This window comes from Homo sapiens, chromosome 1 (genome assembly GCF_000001405.40).
Source record: "Homo sapiens chromosome 1, GRCh38.p14 Primary Assembly".
Classification (NCBI taxonomy): Eukaryota; Metazoa; Chordata; class Mammalia; order Primates; family Hominidae; genus Homo; species Homo sapiens.
In genome coordinates this window covers 55,018,093-55,039,367 of record NC_000001.11, presented here as the reverse complement: position 1 = coordinate 55,039,367, position 21,275 = coordinate 55,018,093, and the positions used below count along the sequence as shown (strand labels likewise).

The following is a 21,275-nucleotide window of genomic DNA, read 5'->3' as shown; positions in this document are numbered from 1 at the left end:
CAAATCCTAACTGGGCTGGAAGGCAGGCCGGCGCCCTAGGGGCTCCTCCTCTCCCGCCTCTCACCCTGCGTGGGATGCCAGACTCCAAGTTCTGCCGGGCCCACCTTTTCAGTGTTTCCTGGGTCCACCTTGTCTCCTGCTGACCAGTGAGACTTCTGAATCAATCCTACTGTGGACTCCTCGCTGCCCACCGAATTCTTTCCACTGGCCTTAACCTGGCAGCCTTCTAAACTTAGCCTGGACCCCCTCCGGCCTCTGCCCTTTATGCACCCTGCACACTGACCTTACCAACTAGCTGCTCCTTGAAGAGATTGCTTGCTTTTGATGTCCAGCCTACATGCATTTCAAGGGATTTATACTACAAAGATTCAGGTTTTAAGTTTGCAAAGACGTCATATAGGTACATTCAGAATTCTATGGTAGGCACAAGCTCAGCTTTCCAGAAGATTCAATTTGCAAAGATTCCTTTTACACACCATGTTCAAGAAATCAACTGGACAAGCATCCAGTAAACACCTATTGTGTACCAGGCAGGAGGATGAAAAGGGGAAAGAGAGCTCCTGGCCTCAGATTGTACATGTGGCATGACATGAGGCTTGCTCTTTCTGGAAGGGCTGTCGATACTGGGAAGAAACAAAGGCGAATTTATGATCCTCCCTTGCAGATGCACAGCAGATTCCGAGTGAAATGGCCTGCTCTGAATCTAGGTGCTGGAGTCCAAAGTTGATGCTCTTTCCACTTTGTTTGCAAAGACCTCACTCCAGAGAGCCAGTGCACAAAGACAGTGCAACCAGTGGGTTGACAGTGACTCCATGAGGTAAGGTCAGAGTTATCCCCATCGAGCCCGCCATCGCAGCACAGAGTAGGAGCTCATGGTTTGCTGACAGAGGTGGCAGAGGTGGTTCTCCTTCCTGTTGCCTGTAATTGGAATTGTATTTGCAATGTGCTTTTGGCAGCTTCCTCATCAAAGGCCTCCCCTGGAGCAAGAATAGATGGGAGCTAACTTTCCCTGCTGCTCCCCTTTGGGACCTTGGCCTCTCACCTACCGGGGTCGTTACCGTGCACCCAGAGAATGATGAAGCCTGTGCACAGAGGGACATGGATGTCCCCAGGCCCAGGAAGGGGGCTGCTGTCCAGCATGCAGTGGGTGTGTTCTGAGGGAGGTGGGGGAGGAAGGAAGCACCCTGGGCTCTGCGACAGATGGAACCAGAGGGGCAGTCACTTCTCATCCCATATCCTCCACTGCACTCTTATGAGGGGCAGCCCCAGCTGGGCCTCCTGCCACTTGGCAGGGCTTTCATCCCTCACCAATTACCCCTCCCATAAGTTGCCCAAAGGAATTGTGTCACCTTCTCCCTCTTCTCAAATGGGTTCCCCCACACCCTGGCCAGCAAATAAGCAGCCAGCTCCCCTGAGAGGTACCAGCAATCAGGGTAAGTCAGAAGCCTCTTCTGGGGCCTCCCCTCCACCACAAGTGCTTTCTGGGTCAACACCCATCCTTTTCCCCTCCTGCCTTCCTCCTTCAGGGCAGAGGGGACCATCCTCTTATACTCAGCTGACACTCCCCTGCCCCAATCTGGCCTCCGCAGGGATCACCTACCTCCACTATCTCCTCTCCTCCTCTTATCCCTAAATGCCTCTTCCTGAGTTATTCTTTCCCTTCACCCCACAAGCATCCTCAAGGCTTCCTCCCTCTAAAAATGCCACTTTTACTGTCCCTCAAAATGCTTTTCTAGCCATTGCCTTCCCCTCATAGACTGAATGAGTAGATAGAACTCACTTTTATGCTCCCTGGCTACCTTCTCCAACCTCAGAAACTTGGAGTCTGCAGCCACCATTGCTGTGAGTGTACATTTCAACATTTTGAACGGGCATACTCTTTTTTGCAAGGGAGGGGGCATCTTTTTGTGTGAATGTTCAATTTTTTTAAATTTACATGAAAATGTTTTTTTTAAAACGTGAATAGTTTGAAAGGATATACAGTGAAAAGTTCATCTTCCTCCCACTCCTGAACCACCACCTTCTGAGGGAAAACCACTGTTACCCACGGTAGTGGGTTGAATCGTGTCCCCCAAAAAGATAAGTCTAAGACTAACCCCTGGTACTTTTGAATGTGACCTTATTTGGAAATGAGATCTTTGCAGATGTAATTGACCTAAGGATCTCATGAGGAGATTATCCTGGGTTTAGGATGGTCCCTAAATCCAATGACTGATATCAGAAGAGAAAGGGGAGAGATACTTGAGACACAGAAACACCTATGTAACAATGGAGGCGCCGATTAGAGCTGTGCCGACATAAGCCAAGGAATGCCAGGAGCCCCCAAAGGAGCTGGAAGAAGCAAGGAATGTTCCTCCCCTAGAGCTTTGGGAGAGGGCACCACCCTGCAACCCTTCATTCCATACTTCTGGCTTCCATAACTGCAAGAGAATACGTTTTTGTTATTTGAAGCCAGCAAATTTGTAGAAACTTGTTATAACAGCCCCAGGAAAGTAATATACCTATTTATTGGGTATCTTTTCGGAGATAGTCTACTTTTATAAAACTACTTGGATGGGCTCTTTAACCCACTTTTTAAAATTGTAAAAATAGTTTATGATTTACTTTTAACTTTTTATTTATATTGGTGGGGTGGAGAGGGACAACTTAATCTGACGTCTTAACCTAGCCCTAATCTCGGAATAAAAACCACACTGGTACACATACATCTACTGCCTTATTTTTCTGGTTGCAGATTATTTCATTCTATGTATGTTTCACAATGTCTTTAGCCAATTTCCTATTGGTTGGTGTTTCCGTTGGTTGTTTCTGTCTTTTGCTATTGCAATCCAAGTTGCCATGTCTGTCCTTATCCATAGCTGTTTGCACATGTGAGAGTATCTGTTTCATAAATTCCTGGAAGTGGAATTTCGAGATAAAGGGCACATGAATGCTCTATATTGATGATGTCTTCCCACGAGCAGTGCTGGAGGAATCCATCAGAATAGGCTAGGTTCTGCTTCCAGCACATGCACGCCCCAAATCTCAGGGGCTTGAAATGTCAAAGGTTTATTTCTGTCTCACCTCACATGTCCATCAAGGACTTTGCTTCACTACTTCATTACCCTCACCCCAGAACCAGACTGATAAAGCAACCATCATTCAGAACATTGCTGAACACTGAGGCTGACGGAAAGCAAAGAGGTGACTCCATGCAGCTTCCACACAAAAGTGACCCACAACACTTCCGTTCACATTTCCTTCTCCTAAGCGAGACACATGACCACACCTAAGGTCAAATGTAGGAAACTGCAATCACACCAAGTGCCCAGAAGGAGGAGAAAGGGTATATTTGTGAATACCACTGGCAACTACCGCTCATGGTCACACCCAGGCCAACACAGAGTTGCCAAATATTTTGACCTTTCCTTAAGTTAAACAATTATCTACATTTGTTTGTCTTTGAACTGTCTCTTCATTTTTTCATTTTGGCTGTGGAGCTTTTGTTTGATGATTTGTAATAGCTTTTTATGTATAATACCAAAATTAGCCTGCTGTCTCTTATGTATGTTGCAAATCTATTTTCCAGTTTGTTGATTGATTTTTGACTTTATTGTATTTTTTTCCATAGAAAATTTTAATTTTCATGGAGTCAAACTTATCAGCCTTTTATTTCATGACTTCTTGATTTTGTACTGTGCTTAGAAAGGCCTCCTCCTTATCAAGATCATATAAAAATTGTCCTCCTTTTTTAAATCTTTTTTTAATATCTTGGCTTCCACTGGGATTTACTTTTGTATAAGGAGTGAGGTTATTTTTCTCCAGAAGGCTAGCCTATTGTTCCAATACCGTTTATTCCGTAACTCATTTTTTCTCCCTGATTAGAAATGACGTCTTAGTAACAAAACTCCCTTGCGACTCTACATCTAATTCTGGCTGTTTTTGTACCTTTAATATCTCTAGTCAGTAGCAAACTGTGAAAATGTGCTATATACTGACCTAGCTATTTGATTTCTTAGGAATTTATCCTAAGGAAATAATTAGGCAAGTGGACAAAGAGGTACTAATGATATAGAAATCATTGTGCAAACGGAGAGCAACTAAAGTGTGTGGAGGCCCTAATATAATCTAGCAAGGACCCCAGCGATGTACACCCACCATTCAAGGATGAGGCTGGAGCTGGCCCAATGGCCCAGGATGGACAAAGGGTCCAGGACAGCAGCACGCTTTTCCGTAAGAAGCTCTGCTGTAAAATGGGTGTGCTCAGCTCTTAAAACAGCTTCTGACTCAGTAAAGACTGAACAGGGTATAGGAAGCCCAGACATGTGGTGGGGTGGGAAGTTTGCATCTGGTCCCGCTGCTGGGAGCCACAGGGAGCTGTGGCCATGGCTCCTCAGTGCCCTTCTGGCTGCGCTGCCTCCTGCCTCTTGGGGTGGTATGAGTCCTGGCTCCGACTGCAACATGTTGATTCACTTAGCTCTCCCCGCTCCACCAGCTTTACTGTCTCCTCTAATAAAACTCTCACTTTGATCTGCCAGGGTGTCATATATTACACTTCTGTTTGCTCTTATTGAATTTCTTCCAGGGGTTCAGCAATCCAAACATTCATCAATGGAGGGACAGATTTTAGTCTGTTCATATGGTGGGATATTTGGCAGCTGGTAAAAAGAAATAAATGGAGGTTTATATATTGACATGGAAAGATGTCCAACATCAATAACTTTTAAACAGCATGTTATGATCCCATTTCAATAAAGTGGTTACATTTGTATATATAATGTTTGTCTCTGCATAAACAACATAAGATTTAAGGTACAGACCCCAAATGGAATTATAAGAGAGTCTTGATGTCTGCATTCTACAGTTATATCATGTTTAAAATTGTAAAATAGGCTGGGTGCGGTGGCTCACGCCTGTAATCCCAGCATTTTGGGAGTCCGAGGCAGACGGATCAATTGAGGTCAGGAGTTCGAGACCAGCCTGGCCAACATGGTAAAACCCCATCTCTACTAAAATACAAAAATTAGCCAGGCGTGGTGGTGGGTGCCTGTAATCCCAGCTACTAGGGAGGCTGGGGCAGGGGAATTGCTTGAACCCGGGAGGCAGAGGTTGCGGTGAGCCGAGATTGCACCACTGCACTTCAGCTGGGCAACAGAGTGAGACTCCACCTCAGAAAAACCCCAAAAGACATAACATCGTAAAATAAACATGGCTCCTCTCTTGGAGCACTTAGAACTCCTCCTCTTTGTCCACAAAGCATTTTCATCCTTCCTGTCTCATTCGCCCCAGCCCTGTGGGACATGCTGTGCTGGGACTATCATCTCTGTTTAATAGACAAGAAAATTGAGAGGCAGAGAGGGAGAGCATTTTGTGCACATCACACAGCTATGGGTCAGAGTGGACTTAAACTCCCTTTCCAGCTGTTTCCCATAGCCCCAGAGGGCAAGGGTTGGAGCTCAGGGCTCTCCCTCCTGAGGTCGGGGAGACAGGGCTGCAACTCTCTACTTGAGAGCATTTCCTCCCATGTGCAGTAGGGGCTACATGGAAGGTGACAGATATAAAGGGCTGCCTGCAAACCTGTCAGAGAGTGCATCTGTCTTCCCCACGGGTCGTGAACTCAGTATAAGCAGGGAACCTGCCTGAGTCAGGTCATCCTTGGCATCCCTAGCACCAAGCTAGAGCCTGACATGTATGTTTAATGACTGAGTTAATTACTGAACACCTATTATGTACCAGGGACTGTTCTAGATGCTGGGTATGGCAGTGAACAAGATCCATAGAATCCCTGCCCCTGTGCAGCCCTCCCTCTAGTAGGGCGGAACAGACGACAAATCAAACATGTACTGTGTGAGATGGTGATGAGTGCCATGGAGGAAAAGGAAAAGAGAAGAGGGTGGGAGACCTGGCACTTTAAAACAGGGCGGTGTGCAAAGAGAACACTGGAGGAAAGGAGCTGAGAGGACGGGCCGTGGACACAGTGGAGAAGTGCTGCCCCAGACTGGAACAGCCCAGAGATGGGAAGGAGCCTGCAAGGAAGAGCTGGGCTGGAGGCTGGTGTGGGGGCAGACCTGGGGGAGCTCGCCAACCATTCTGGGGACTCTGGCTTTTCTCCGGGAAGGTGGAGAGCTAAGGGCAGGTTTTAAGCAGAGGAGGGTAAATTAGTTCGTTTTCATGCTGCTGATAAAGACATACCCAAGACTGGGAAGAAAAAGAGGTTTAATTGGACTTACAGTTCCACATGGCTGGGCAGGCCTCAGAATCACGGCAGGAGGCGAAAAGCACTTCTTACATGGCAACAGCAAGAGAAAATAAAAAGGATACAAAAGCAGAAACCCCTGATAATCCCATCAGATCCTATGAGACTTATTCACTATCACGAGAATAGCATGGGAAAGACCAGCCCCATGATTCAATTACCTCTCCCTGGCTCCCTCCCACAACATGTGGGAATTCTGGGAGACACAATTCAAGCTGCGAGTTGAATGGCAACACAGCCAAACCACATCATTCTGCCCCTGACCCCTCCAAATTTCATGTCCTCACATTTCAAAACCAATCATGCCTTCCCAACAGTCTCTCAAAGTTTTAACTCATTTCAGCATTGACCCAAAAGTCCACAGTCCAAAGTCTCATCTGAGACAAGGCAAGTCCCTTCCACCTATGAGCCTGTAAAATCGAAAGCAAGCTGGTTACTTTCTAGATACAATAGGGATACAGGTATTTGGTAAATACAGCCATTCCAAATGGGAGAAATTGGCCAAAACAAAGGGGCTACAGGCCCCATGCAAGTCCAAAATCCAGTGGTGCAGTCAAATTTTAAAGCTCCAAAATGATCTCCTTTGACTCCACATCTCACATCCAGGTCACGCTGATGCAAGAGGTAGGTTCCCATGGTCTTGGGCAGCTCTGCCCCTGTGACTTTGCAGGGTACAGCCTCCCTCCCAACAGCTTTCATGGGCTGGCATTGATTGTCTGCAGATTTTCCAGGAGAACAGTGCAAGTTGTCAGTGGATCTACCATTCTGGGGTCTGGAGGACAGTGGCCCTCTACTCAGCTCCACTAGGCAATGCCCCAGTAGGGATTCTGTCTGGGGGCTGTGACCCCACATTTCCCTTCTGCACTGTCCTACCAGAGGTTCTCCATGAGCACCCCACCCTGAAGCAAATTTCTGCCTGGACATCCAAGCATTTCCTACGTCTTCTGAAATCTAGGTGGAGGTTCCCAAACCTCAATTCTTGACTTCTGTGCACCTGCAGGCTCAACACCACATAGAAGTTGCCAAGTCTTGGGGCTTCCACCTCTGAAGCCACAGCCCAAGCTGTATGTTGACCCCTTTCAGCCATGCCTGGAGCAGCTGGGACACAGAGCACCAAGTCCCTGGGCTGCACACAGCACAGGAACCCTGGGCCTGGCCCACAAAACCACTTTTTCCTCCTGGGGCTCTAGGCCTGTGATGGGAGGAGCTGTTGTGAAGGTCCCTGACATGGCCTGGAGACATTTTCTCCATGGTTTTGAGGATTAACACTAGGCTCCTTGCTACTTAGGCAAATTTCTGCAGCTGGCTTGAATTTCTCCTCAAAAAATGGGTTTTTCTTTTCTACTGCAATATTAGGCTGCAAATTTTCTGAACTTTTGTGCTCTGCTTCCCGTTCAAAACAGAATGTTTTTAACAGTACCCAAGTCACCTCTTGAATGCTTTGCTGCTTAGAAATTTCTTCCACCAGATACCCTAAATCGTCTCTCTCAAGTTCGACGTTCCGCAAATCTCAAGGGCAGGGGCAAAATGTTGCCAGTCTCTTTGCTAAAACATAACAGGAGTCACCTTTGCTCCAGTTCCCAACAAGTTCCTCATCTGCCCCCTCTGAGACCACCTCACCTTGGGCCTTATTGTTCATATCACTATGAGTATTTTTGTCAAAGCCATTGAACAAGTCTCTAGGAAGTTCCAAACTTTCTCACATTTTCCTGTCTTCTTCTGAGCCCTCCAAACTGTTCCAAATTCTGCCTGTTACCCAATTTCAAAGTCATTTCCACATTTTCAGGTATCTTTTAAGCAACACCCCACTCTCAGTACCAATTTACTGGATTAGTCCATTTTTATGCTGCTGATAAAGACATACCTGAGACTAGGAAGAAAAATAGGTTTAATTGGACTTATAGTTCCACGTGGCTGCGGAGGTCTCAGAATCATGACGGGAAACGAAAGGCACTTCTTACATGGCGGAGGCAAGAGAAAATGAGGAGGAAGCAAAAATGGAAACCCCTGATAAACCCATCAGATCTCCTGAGACTTATTCACTACCATGAGAATAGCATGGGAAAGACCATCCCCCATGATTCAATTACCTCCCCCTGGGTCCCTCCCACAACACGTGGGAATTCTGGGAAATACAATTCAAGCTGAGATTTGAATGGGGACACAGCGAAACCATATCAGAGGGACATGATCTGATTTATAATTTTTGAGGATTGCTGTGAGTGCTATTTGGAAAATAGATGTCGGTGACCAGGGTAAAAGCAGAGAGAGCAGGTGGGAGACTGTGAGCCACACTGGTAGTGGCTTAGATCAGAGGCAGCAGTGGGACTCTGAGTGTATTTGTATTTGTCCACAGATGAGATGTGAGAGGTGACAGTGTTTTGGCCTTGTCACTTAAGGAGCAGCTGGGGAGCCCAGAGAGGAGTGGCTTAGTGGAGAACTGAGGAGTTCTGGGTGCATGGGTTTGAGCCATTCACCAGATGGCCAAGGTGTCACATGGAACTTAGGGGAGATGCTGGGCTGGAAGTTGTCAACATATCAACGTAATTCAATGACAGGGGACTCACAGAGATCACGAGGGAGCATGTCCAGGAGGAGGAAGTGACCAACTGGGTCAAATGAGGCCCACGGGACAAGCAAGGTGAGAAAGGAAAATCAGTCAGATGCTGGGGTCCGGTGTTCTGATTTAGCCATGTGGAGATCACCAGGAAGGCCTGTGTAGAGACAATGCAGGAAGAGGAGCCAAAGACGGCCACCACAGACATCACTTTCAAGGTTTTCCCTATATCCTTGGGGAAGCAGGAAGATGGATGATGGCCCAGAGCTGATGGAAGTGTTACAGTTGAGACAGAGAAGCTGGCAATGCTGGAGAGTAGGGAGCATCTCTTAGGAGGTGAGAAGGGATGGATCCTAGTGCACAGGTGGAAGGCTCTATCCTCTAGACAAGGGTGCAGCCATAATCACAGGGGAAGGTGGAAAAGGAGGCACAGGCAGGCAGGTAGGGAGATGATGTGGAGGGGGGAGCCATTGGAGGTTCTCTCTTTATTGAGTCTATTTTCTCATTGGAATAGGAAGCAAGGCAGCAACTATAAGGCAGGCTGGGGGAGAAGGATTTGGGGGTTTAAGGAGAAAGGAGAAGGCATGTTGCTGTCATTGTCTGGGGGCAGGGCAGCACTGCACGGGGCCACAGGCCTGGGCTCCAGGACAAGTCACGCAGTCTCTTCCTGTGTGTCTATCTCTTCGTCTGTGAAATGGCAATAGTTACAGAATGTACCTCACAGAGTTGTTTAAAAAATACTTGATAATAACATGCTTAGAATATTGCCTGCAACATATAACTATTATATACGCTTTTACTGAGATAAAAAATAAAATAAATAAGTCAGGCAGAGAAATGGACTTGGAAACGGAGTGGGTTTTTAGGACCGCCTCCAGGGCCCACAGGAGCCGAGTGGTTTGTGAGTGAGACCAGAAAGCATGTGTGTTTCTCTCTGGCTGTGCTCAGCCGCCTGGGTGCAGGAGCAGGGGGTTGGGGGTGGCTGAGTTTAAGTAGAGTGGGATTTCTCCTCTGTGAGTACAATAACTAGTACGAGGATGTGGGGAGGGTGGATGGCAGACTGGACCATGAAGTCTGGGCTGGGAGGAGGGGAGATGTGCAAGGAGGTGAGTGAGAGGCAGACGTGAAAGGCTGGCGTCAATGAAAATATTGGAGTTGGGAGAAAAGGAAAGTGGTGGTCAGAAAGGGCGTGTTTGGAATGGAGGTTCTGGAGGAGCTTGTTATCGTAGTGACAAGGGCAAGAGTATGCAGGTGGGAATGGAAGGCTGAAAAAGGGGCAGGCAAGGTCTCTGGAGGTGGAAGGACTGAGGTGCCAGAGCGTGCAACCGACTCTCTAGAAACACGCTGAAATCCCCCAGCAGGTGAAAGGGCTATGAGCCGGAGCTAAGTCTTCCGGTGTAATCTGATGACAGGAACTTCAATACAGTCATGCATCCATATGTCCCTGGCAATTTTGTCATGGTGCGAATATCATATAGTTAGACCTAGATGGGGTAGCCCACTACACACCGAGACTATATGGGATAGACAGCCTATTGCTCCTAGACTACAGACTTGTACAGCACAGTGCTGAATGCTGTAGCCAACTGTAACACAATGGTAAGTATTTGTGCATTTAAACAAATCTAGGGCCGGGTGCGGTGGCTCACGCCTGTAATCCCAGCACTTTGGGAGGCCGAGGCGGGTGGATCACGAGGTCAGGAGATCGAGACCATCCTGGCTAACATGGTGAAAACCCGTTTCTACTAAAAATACAAAAAACCAGCTGGGCGTGGTGGCGGGCACCTGTAGTCCCAGCTACTCGGGAGGCTGAGGCAGGAGAATGGCATGAACCCGGGAGGCAGAGCTTGCAGTGAGCCGAGATTGCACCACTGCACTCCACCCTGGGCAACAGAGTGAGACTCCGTCTCAAAAAAAAAAAAAAAAAAAAATCTAAACATAGAAATAGTATAGTAAAAATACTATAGTAAAAATAAAATGTAAAAGAGAAAAATGGCACATCTGTGTAGGGCACTTAGCATGAACAGAGCTTGCAGGACTGGAAGTGGCTCTGGGTGTCAGTGAGTGAGTGGGGAGTGAATGTGAAGGCCAGGGACATTACTGTACTTAACTATAAACTTTATAAAAAGTGTACATTTAGGCTACGCTAAATTTATTTTTTTAAGTAACTGTGCTACGACGTTACAATGGCTATTTTCACCAGATTTCATGCGCGTCCGTGTGAAGAGACCACCAAACAGGCTTTGTGTGGGCAACATGGCTGTTTATTTCACCTGGGTGCAGGTGGGCTGAGTCCGAAAAGAGAGTCAGCGAAGGGAGATAAGGGTGGGGCCGTTTTATAGGATTTGGGTAGGTAAAGGAAAATTACAGTCAAAGGGGGTTTGTTATCTGGCGGGTAGGAGTGCGGGGTCGCAAGGTGCTCAGTGGGCAGGAGTGGGGGTCGCAAGGTGCTCAGTGGGGGTGCTTTTTGAGCCAGGATGAACCAGGGAAAGGACTTTCACAAGGTAATGTCATCAGTTAAGGCAAGGACCGGCCATTTACACTTCTTTTGTGGTGGAATGTCATCAGTTAAGGTGGGGCAGGGCATATTCACTTCTTTTGTGATTCTTCAGTTACTTCAGGCCATCTGGGCGTATACATGCAAGTCACAGGGGATGCGATGGCGTGGCTTGGGCTCAGAGGCCTGACATTCCTGCCTTCTTATATTAATAAGAAAAATAAAATAGTGTTGAAGTGTTGGGGCGGCGAAAATTTTTGGGGGGTGGTATGGAGAGAGAATGGGCGATGTTTCTCAGGGCTGCTTCAAGCGGGATTAGGGGCGGCGTGGGAACCTAGAATGGGAGAGATTAAGCTGAAGGGAGATCTTGTGGTAAGGGGTGATATTGTGGGGATGTTAGAAGAAACGTTTGTCGTATAGAATGATTGGTGATGGCCTGGATACGGTTTTGTATGAATTGAAAAACTAAATGGAATAAGAGAAGGAGAAAAACAGGTATAAAAGGACTAAGAATTGGGAGGACCTAGGACATCTAATTAGAGAGTGCCTAAGGAGATTCAGCATAGTCCTGCCAGCAAAGATTATTTATTTACTTCAAGAGTTAAGAGTGGCAGTTTTGGGATACCACCGGGAGATATCAGCTGTGATGGCTTGGAGAAACAGTGTAAACCGGCAGTGTAAACAAGAGCAGGGCATGTATGAGTAGTTGAGAACGGTGAATAGGAGTATGACTAGACAGAAGATAGTAGGGATGACAAGTTTTCTGGGGCACAGTCCAAGTTGGTCTGGTGTCTGGAATGAGACTGGGGCCTAATAAAAAGGAGCGTCTATACAGGAGCTTAAATGGGCTGTACCTTGTAGCATTCCGAGGACAGGCCTGAATTCTGAGAAGGGAAAGTGATAAAAGTATTGTCCAGTCCTTTTTGGTGGCTGAGCTTGGTGAGGTGTGTTTTTAAAAGACCATTAGTCTGTTCTACTTTTCTTGAAGACGGAGGACCGTAAGGGATATAAAGGTTTCACTGAATACTAAGAGCCTGAAAAAATGCTTGGCTGATTTGACTAATAAAGGCTCATCTGTTATCAGACTGTATTGAGGTGGGAAGGCTAAACTGAGGAATTGTGTCTGACAGAAGGGAAGAGATGACTGCGGTGGCCTTCTCAGACCCTGTAGGAAAGGCCAGTACTTATCCAGTAACTAAAATACCTCCAGACTAAGAGGTATTTTAGTTATCTGACTCAGGCATGTTGAGTAAAGCTAATTTGCCAGTCCTGGGTGGGGCAAATCCTCGAGCTTGATGTGTAGGGAAGGGAGGGGTCCTGAATAATCCCTGAGGAGTAGTAGAATAGCAGATGGAACACTGAGAAGTTATTTCCTTGAGGATAGATTTCCATGATGGAAAGGAAATGAGAGGTTCTAAGAGGTGGGCTAGTGGCTTGTACTATAGCGTAGTCTGCCTTTGCTGGTGTGTGGCGATTAGGCCTGGTGGAACTGCCATCAATAAATCAAGCATGATCAGGGTGAGGAACAGGAAAGAAGGAAATATGGGGAAATGGGGTGAATGTCAGGTGGATCAGAGAGATACAGTCGTGGGGGTCAGGTGTGGTATCAGGAATAATGTGGGAGGCCAGATTGAGGTCTGGGCCAGGAACAACGGTAATTGTGGGAGTTAACAAAGAGTGAGTACAGCTGAAGGAGCCGGGAAGCAGAAAGTATATGTGTCAGGTATGAGGAAGAAAATAGATTTTGGAAGTTATGAGAAATGTAGAGAGTGAGTTGAGCATAGTTTGTGATTTTGAGGGCCTCTAAAAGTATTAAAGCAGTGGCAGCCGCTGCACGCAGACATGAGGGCTAGGCTAAAACAGTAAGGTCAAGTTGTTTGGACAGAAAGCCTACAGGGTGTGGTCCTGGCTCTTGTGTAAGAATTCTGACCACGCTAACCATGCCTAGGAAGGAAAGGAGTTGTTGTTTTGTAGAAGGTGCTGGGGTTTGAGAGATCAGTCGGACACGATTGGCAGGGAGAGCACATGTGTTTTTATGAGAATTACGCCAAGATAGGTAACAGATGAGGAAGAAATTTGGGCTTGATTGAAGTAATGGGGGCTGTCTGTGAAGCTTTGCAGCAGTACAGCCTAGGTAATGTGCTGAGCTTGATGGGTGTCAGGGTCAGTCAAAGTGAAAGTGAAGAGAGGCTGGGATGACGGGTGCAAAGGAATAGTAAAGAAAGCATGTTTGAGATCCAGAACAGAATAATGGGTTATAGAGGCAGGTATTGAGGATAGGAGAGTATATGGGTTTGGCACCACGGGGTGGATAGGCAAAACAATTTGGTTGATAAGGCGCAGATCCTGAACTAACTTGTAAGGCTTGTCTGGTTTTAGGACAGGTAAAATGGGGGAATTGTAAGGAGAGTTTATAGGCTTTAAAAGGCCATGCTGTAGCAGGCAAGTGATAACAGTCTTTAATCTTTTTAAAGCGTGCTGCGGGATGGGATATTGGCATTGAGTGGGGTAAGGGTGATTAGGTTTTAATGAGATGGTAAGGGGTGCATGATTGGCCACCAAGGAGGGAGTAGAGGTATCTTATACTTGTGGGTTAAGGTGGGGGGTACAAGAGGAGGACACAAAGGAGGCTTTGGATTGGGAAGAAGGGCGGCAATGAGATATAGCTGTAGTCCAGGAATAGTCAGGGAAGCAGATAATTTAAAGTGTCTCAGCCTAATAAGGGAACTGGGCAGGTGGGGATAACTAAAAAGGAGTGCTTAAAAGAGTATTGTCTAAGTTGGCACCAGAGTTGGGGAGTTTTAAGAGGTTTAGAAGCCTGGCCGTCAATACCCACAACAGTTATGGAGGCAAGGGAAACAGGCCCTTGAAAAGAAGGTAATGTGGAGTGAGTAGCCTCCGTATTGATTAAGAAGGGGACGGGCTTACCTTCCACTGTGAGAGTTACCCAAAGCTCGGCGTCCGTGATGGTCTGGGGGCTTCCGAGGCGATCGGGCAGTGTCAGTCTTCAGCCGCTAAGCCGAGAAGATCTGGGAAGGAGTCAGTCAGAGAGCCTTGGGCCAGAGTTCCAGGGGCTCTGGGAGTGGCTGCCAGGTGAGTTGAACAGTCCGATTTTCAGTGGGGTCCCACACAGATGGGACGCGGCTTAAGAGGAATCCCGGGCTGCGGGCATTCCTTGGCCCAGTGGCCAGATTTCTGGCACTTGTAGCAAACTCCTGGGGGAGGAGGTTCTGGAGGAACGCCTGGCCGCTGTGGTTCAGGCGTTTGGAAGTTCTTGTGTGCTGGAGATGTGGCTGGGGTTTGTCTCACAGTGGAGGCAAGGAATTGCAACTGTTTTCTATTATTGCACACCTTGAAGGCGAGGTTAATTAAATCCTGTTGTGAGGTTTGAGGGCTGGAATTTAATTTTTGGAGTTTTATTTAATGTCAGGAGTGGATTGGGTAATAAAATGAGTATTGAGAATAAGACGGCCCTTTGACTTTTTAGGGTCTAGGGCTGTAAAGTGTCTCAGGGTTGCTGCCAAACGAGTCATGAACTGGGCTGGATTTTTATATTTGATGAAAAAGAGCCTAAATGCTATCTGATTTGGGATAAAGAAAAAGGAGCATTAACCTTGACTATGCCTTTGGCTCCATCCACCTTTTTAAGAGTAAATTGCTGGGCAGGTGGGGGAGGGCCAGTCACGGAACGAAACTGTGAGCCGGATCGGGTGTGAGGAGGGGAGGTGATAAAAGGATTATAGGGTGGAGGAGCGGAGGCTGAGGAAGAATTGGGACTTAGCTCGGCCTGGTGATGAGCAGCCTGGGGAGGAGGGGAAAGGTCAGATGGGTCTGTAGAAAAGGAAGACTGGAAAGACTCAGCGACGCTTGGGGTTGGGACTGAGGGGACAGGCGGGAGGGAAAGAAGGAGGATCTGGGAGGAATTGCATTGGGAACAGAGGCTAGGGAGGGAACGAAGTGTGAAAAATGCCTGGACGTAAGGCACCTCAGACCATTTGCCCATTTTTCGACAAAAATTATTTAGGTCTTGTAGGATGCAGAAATCAAAAGTGCCGTTTTCTGGCCATTTAGGGCCATTGTCAAGTTTGTATTGGGGCCAAGTGGTGTTGCAGAAGAAAATAAGGCATTTAGGTTTTAGGTCAGGTGTGAGTTGAAGAGGTTTTAAGTTCTTAAGGACACAGGCTAAAGGAGAAGAAGGAGGAATGGAGGGTGGAAGGTTGCCCATAGTGAAGGAGGCAAACCCTGAGAAAAGAGAGCGTAGAGACACGGAGGAGGGGAGTGGGGTTCTTGCCCTCCAGAAAAGCAGAGAGGGGGTTGGGACACGGAAATAAGGGATTGGGGCACAGAGATAAGAGGTCAGGGTGCGGAAATAAGGGATTGGGGCACAGAGATAAGAGGTTGGGGTGCGGAAATAAGCGATTGGGGGGTCCTTGCCCCCTAGGAAAGCGGGACTTGCCGCTAAGGGTGAAGGACCAAGGCAGGCGTCCCTGCGTGGTCTGACACCCTTGAAACGTGAGTGGATAATCAGAGAGGCATCCCTGCAATGATTAAACACCAAGGGAAGGCTGCCTTCCCAGTCCGTGACCGGCACCGGGGTTTTGGGTTCATGGATAAAACATGTCTCTTTTGTCTCTACCAAAAAATGAAAGAAATTGAAATTAAGAGAAGGGAGAGATTGAAGTGTGGCGCCAAGATTGAAAGGAGAAAGAGGTTGAGGGATAGTGAGGGAGGTTGGAGAAGAGAGTAAAAAGAGGCAGCTTACCGGACTTGAAATTGGTGAGATGTTTCTTGGGCTGGTCGGTCTGAGGACCTGAGGTCGTAGGTGGATCTTTCTCATGGAGCAAAGAGCAGGAGGACAGGGGATTGATCTCCCAAGGGAGGTCCCCCGATCCGAGTAACGGCACCAAATTTCACCAAATTACATGTGCATCCGTGTGAAGAGACCACCAAACAGGCTTTGTGTGAGCAACATGGCTGTTTATTTCACCTGGGTGCAGGCGGGCTGAGTCCAAAAAGAGAGTCAGCGAAGGGAGATAAGGGTAGGGCCGTTTTATAGGATTTGGGTAGGTAAAGGAAAATTACAGTCAAAGGGGGTTTGTTCTCTGGCGGGTAGGAGTGGGGGTCGCAAGGTGCTCAGTGGAGGTGCTTTTTGAGCCAGGATGAACCAGGAAAAGGACTTTCACAAGGTAATGTCATCAGTTAAGGCAAGGACCAGCCATTTACACTTCTTTTGTGGTGGAATGTCATCAGTTAAGGTGGGGCAGGGCATATTCACTTCTTTTGTGATTCTTCAGTTACTTCAGGCCATCTGGGCGTATACGTGCAAGTCACAGGGGATGCGATGGCTTGGCTTGGGCTCAGAGGCCTGACAGCTATGACGTCTCTAAGCGAGGTGACAGGAGTTTCTCAGCTCTGTTGTAATCTTATGGAACCACTGTCATGTATGTGGTCTGTCGTTGCCTGAAACATTGCTGTGTGGCGCATGACTGCGTTTATGGAGGAGAGAAGGACAATGATCCAGAGAGTGGGGCACTGAGAGCAAGGAGACCCTACCCCTCTCAGGCGGGGGGAAAGGACTGCAGGGACGGCAGCAGTGTCCTTGGGGGACAGGGGCCTTCCAGTCAAGGCCAGAAAGGGACCGAAACGCTGCCAGAGGCTGTTGAAAAGCAGGGGGTTGCTGGTGCTGGAGCAGGATTTGGAGGACGCAGTTTCAGGAAGGGAGGAAGGAAGGAATAGGGAGAGAGGGACAGGCCCAGAGAACCAGGCCTCTCCCAGGAAGCTTCCGGCCACTCTGGAGCAGCAGCCTTGCCCAGCTAGACCAGCAGAGGGCGCCAGGTACCTGTCATCTGAGCCCACGGCCTGCCCACTGCCCAGGCCCGGCCCAGCCCATAAGCTGCTGGCACCTGCTCTCACCCCTGAGCTGAATCAGCCCTCGCCTCATCCTCAGAGTCCACAGGGAGGCAGATGAGAGCACAGGCGACTGTGATAGGAGGCAAGAGGAGCCAAGTCTCACAGAAGGGACAGGCTAGGTGCTGCGGGAACTCAGTCAGATGGGCACTGAATCCGGGCCGGCTTCCTGGAGGTGGCAGCTCGGGATCTGTGGTCCAGTTATAATGGTGGTAGGAAGCAGTGCATGGCCCAGCTGGAGACACTGAGATGGGAGGCTGGTTTTTAACGCCTCTCGAGGCCAAGGCATGGCCCTCTCCTGAGGTTAGGGGACTCTGGGAGATTCTGAACAAAAGAGGGTCATGACCAGCACGCCGGCCTCAAAAATGCTTTCCTCTCCACCTGCTCAAGAATGGCTCTGGGCCCAATGCACATCACCAGTCTCCACCCTCTCCTCTCCTCCCCTCTCTTCCCAGGAAGCCCCTTGTCTGCCACTTCATGGAGAAAAGGAGGCCACTGGGGTCTTCCTGGCACCTGCCACAGGCAGCCCCTCTCCACCCTGTATGTCCCCACTCCCTGCCGGCTTAAAGGGAAGAGCTGTTGCTGTTCTCTGACATGTCTGCCTGGCTCTCTCTGTCTCTCTTTTGTACACATCAAGGCTTACTCACCCTTTTTCCTGCCAGCCTCTCAGCACGCTCAGATCTCTTCCACCCTAAAAAAACAAAATGCAGGCCGGGCACGGTGGCTCACACCTGTAATCCTAACACGTTGGGAGGCTGAGGCGGGTGGATCACCTGAAGTCAGGAGTTCAAGACCAGCCTGACCAACATGGAGAAACCCTGTCTCTACTAAAAACACAAAATTAGCCGGGCGTGGTGGCGCATGCCTGTAATCCCAGCTACTCGGTAGGCTGAGGCAGAGAATCGCTTGAACCTGGGAGGCGGAGGTTGTGGTGAGCTGAGATCGCGCCATTGCACTTCATCCTGGGTGACAAGAGGGAGACTCCATCTCAAAAAGAAAAAAAATGCAAACAGAACAAAACCTCCCTTGATCACCTTCCATGTTACAGACATTGGGGTACAGCAGTGAACAAGATAGACAAAATCCCTTTTCTCATGCAGCCCTCATAGTTGAGTGAAACAGGTAATAAATTAATGTTCAGCCTATAAGTTGGTGATAAGAGCACTAGAGAATGATGAAAAGAGAAGGATAAAATGTGTCAGTGGGGACAGGGGATGGGCAAGCCAAACTTTTCAATAGGCTTGTCCAAGAGGGTCCAGCTTCTGCAGCTCTTCCTACAGCGCACTCCACCTCTGCCTCCACCCCAGACCCCTCCACAGTGCTCTGTCCAAGGCCACCTCAGTCCTGCTAGTGTTTCTCCAAGCATGGCCCAGGGGCCACCTGCATCAGAGTGGTGGAATGAGGCTGCGGCAACTCCTCCTACCCTCCCGCTTTGAGAATTGCAGATTCCTCTGCCTGGCCCAGAATCTCCAGGAACTGGGCCCAGGAATCTGCATTTCATAAACTCCTCAGGAGATACCAAAGCAGCCCTAAGTGTGGGAACCACAGATTTACTCCCTGAAAATGTAGCACTGCCTCAAGCAGTCCAGGTCACCCAGCTCCACTCTGCAGCCATGGCTCATGCTATGCCTTCCTCCTGGAATGCCCTTCCCAGCATTCTTTGCCTGATAATTCTCATGACACCCACCCCAAGGGTCTCCTCCTCCAGGCAGCACTCCCTGAACTTTCTGCCCTATGTTCCCCCTCTTCTCTTTGCCAAGGGAGTCCTCTATGTGACAATCTCTTCTGCTGGACCAGGAGCTCCTACAGCTGGGACCCCCTTTAGTCCAATTCGCTTTGGTCTGGAGAGAGTGGTTTTAGAGCCCAACTACCACTTAGGAGCATCCCTCTGGTGGGTGTGGTGGGGTCCAGCCTGGAGACAGTACCCTGTGAGGGGCCATGTGATAATGAGCACAGGCTGGAGGGGTGGTGACAGTGGCTATCATGAGGAGGGAAGAAAGGGGGAAGGGGATGTTGTGGAGGCAGAAAGCTAGGCCTTGGCAGCAGATGGGACACGACCCAGGCGGAGATCCAGAACATGAGTTCTAATCCCAGCTCTGCTACAAATTCACGGTGTGACCCTGGGCAACAACTTGCCCCTTTCTGAGCCTCAGTTCACTCATCAGCAGAACAGTGGCAATCACTCTCCCCTCACTGAGGAGATGCAAAGTCCAACAAGATAGCACATCTAAAACTGCTTTAGAAAGTCCTGACATGAGGCAAGCATGGAGGGGGAGGAAGGACGGGATCTGAGTGGTCAGATGGCAGCCCCACTCCTCCACACAAATACCCAACTGGGTCACCCCGACTGGCCATTTGGATCCAAAGGACCCCAAGGGCATGCACCCGATTTGCATCAGTGCTCTGAGGTCCAGGGTGAAAGGAAAGAATCCCCAGCAGCCCGGGCCCCAGGGCAAGTGGAGGTGGGGACCGGGAGGAATGTGCCTTCAGCTGCTTCGGGGGCCCCTAGCCCTCACCCCTAGGCCAAAATATTTCCATCACCTCCTCGTCAGGGTGTTAATGGTGCAGAGAAGTCAGCCATCTCAGCCAGGGAGGAAGGTCAGATCTCCAAAACCCAGCCCAGCAACAACCACTGAGGTCCCCACGAGGTCCCCAGGCCTGGAATCATTCCTGTGAGGCAGGCAGGCAGGACTGCCACCCCATGCTGGGGGGTAGAAAACTGAGGCTGGGGAAAGCCTTATAGGGAATCAGGGCCAGGGTCTAGATCCACAACCGCAGGCAGGGAAGAACGAAGTTCCTCCCCGGGAAGAGGTAGGGAGGCATTGACTGGCACCCTGTTATTGAGATGAGAAACCCCAGGCTTGGGCAGATGACTTGAACTTCAGGATGCAGAAGGCAATGCTCAGAGCTGCCCAAAGAATGGGCAGGAACATGTCTGAAAGAGGTTACACTTCTAAATGGAGAGAGAGAGAGAGACAGTAAAAGAGAGAGAGAAAGCTAAAAATCAGACAGGATTTTTGCTTCCTGTGTTTTCGATCTCTGTTGTTAGATGCATACATATGGTAGATCACTTGAGGTCAGGAGTTCGAGACCAACCTGGCCAACATGGTGAAACCCCATCTCTACTAAAAATACAAAAAAATTAGCCAGGTATGATGGCATGCACCCATCGTCCCAGCTAGTTAGGAGTCTGAGGCAGGAGAATCGCTTGAACCCGGAAGCTGCAGATTGTAGTGAACTAAGATCGCACCACTGCACTGCAATCTGGGTGACAGAGCAAGACTCTGTCGCAAACAAAACAAAACAAAACAGTTTCCCTAGTATATTTTCCCTTTCTTTCTTTGCTGACACTTTTTTTTTCCTCTCCTCCAATTTTCCTCAAGGTCATTTTCATGCAGATGACCTGGATTTGTTGTGGGAAGAGATGGTCCCACTCAGCTTTCTGAAAATATGTATTTATAGCCAATACAGGTGCCACGGGACATCAGCACCACCTGCAGATCCCCCAGCTGCCCCGGCTTCCCATAGCCGCTGCCCCGGCTTCCCACAGCTGCCCCGGCTTCCCGAGGCTGCAGGACCAGGCTTCCCCCTTCCTCCTTGTCATAGCCCTGGTGCTGTTGAGAATCCGCCTGGTAGGCTGGCCAGCGGAGGCCTGGGGGCCTAATCCCACGTGAGGACAGATGTGTCCTTGTGGGAACTGAGGGACATAACCTCTCCTCACAGAGCCTCAGGTTTCCATCCATTTCCCTGGGGCTATGATGCCTGCCTGCCTCCCTCAGAAGGTTGGAATCACACTTGTTTTGGAGGGGAATCTTTGTAGGTCAAGTCCAGCCTCCCACTGGTGCTTGAATCCGTGCTCCAGGATGGCCACAGGTGGTCATCTAGCTTCCTTCAAATTCACTTATCTCATGGATGTGATTAGTGGGGGCCTAACATTTTGTTTATTTTTTAAAGTAGAATTAGACCGGGCACGGTGACTCATGCCTGTAATCCCAGCACTTTGGGAGGCCAAGGCAGGAGGATCACCTGAGGCCAGGAGTTTGAGAGCAGCCTGGCCAAGATGATGAAACCCCGTCTCT

The 21,275-nt window shown here is 48.9% G+C and overlaps 6 annotated features.

The window, feature by feature from the left end:
* Nucleotides 3,194–3,383: a silencer, noted in NCBI's record as "fragment chr1:55501658-55501847 (GRCh37/hg19 assembly coordinates)". NCBI's record gives its function as "represses an EF-1alpha promoter that drives an FKBP-Casp9 reporter gene in an ReSE screen in K562 erythroleukemia cells {active_cell/tissue: K562}" and the evidence as "EXISTENCE:reporter gene assay evidence [ECO:0000049][PMID:32094911]".
* Nucleotides 10,271–10,774: an enhancer, noted in NCBI's record as "H3K27ac hESC enhancer chr1:55494267-55494770 (GRCh37/hg19 assembly coordinates)". NCBI's record gives its function as "activates a minimal SCP1, AML or CMV promoter by ChIP-STARR-seq in naive H9 embryonic stem cells {active_cell/tissue: H9 hESC(naive)}" and the evidence as "EXISTENCE:reporter gene assay evidence [ECO:0000049][PMID:30033119]".
* Nucleotides 10,775–11,278: an enhancer, noted in NCBI's record as "OCT4-NANOG-H3K27ac hESC enhancer chr1:55493763-55494266 (GRCh37/hg19 assembly coordinates)". NCBI's record gives its function as "activates a minimal SCP1, AML or CMV promoter by ChIP-STARR-seq in naive H9 embryonic stem cells {active_cell/tissue: H9 hESC(naive)}" and the evidence as "EXISTENCE:reporter gene assay evidence [ECO:0000049][PMID:30033119]".
* Nucleotides 11,279–11,782: an enhancer, noted in NCBI's record as "OCT4-NANOG-H3K27ac hESC enhancer chr1:55493259-55493762 (GRCh37/hg19 assembly coordinates)". NCBI's record gives its function as "activates a minimal SCP1, AML or CMV promoter by ChIP-STARR-seq in naive H9 embryonic stem cells {active_cell/tissue: H9 hESC(naive)}" and the evidence as "EXISTENCE:reporter gene assay evidence [ECO:0000049][PMID:30033119]".
* Nucleotides 16,086–16,712: an enhancer, noted in NCBI's record as "OCT4-NANOG-H3K27ac hESC enhancer chr1:55488329-55488955 (GRCh37/hg19 assembly coordinates)". NCBI's record gives its function as "activates a minimal SCP1, AML or CMV promoter by ChIP-STARR-seq in naive H9 embryonic stem cells {active_cell/tissue: H9 hESC(naive)}" and the evidence as "EXISTENCE:reporter gene assay evidence [ECO:0000049][PMID:30033119]".
* Nucleotides 20,294–20,794: an enhancer, noted in NCBI's record as "H3K4me1 hESC enhancer chr1:55484247-55484747 (GRCh37/hg19 assembly coordinates)". NCBI's record gives its function as "activates a minimal SCP1, AML or CMV promoter by ChIP-STARR-seq in naive H9 embryonic stem cells {active_cell/tissue: H9 hESC(naive)}" and the evidence as "EXISTENCE:reporter gene assay evidence [ECO:0000049][PMID:30033119]".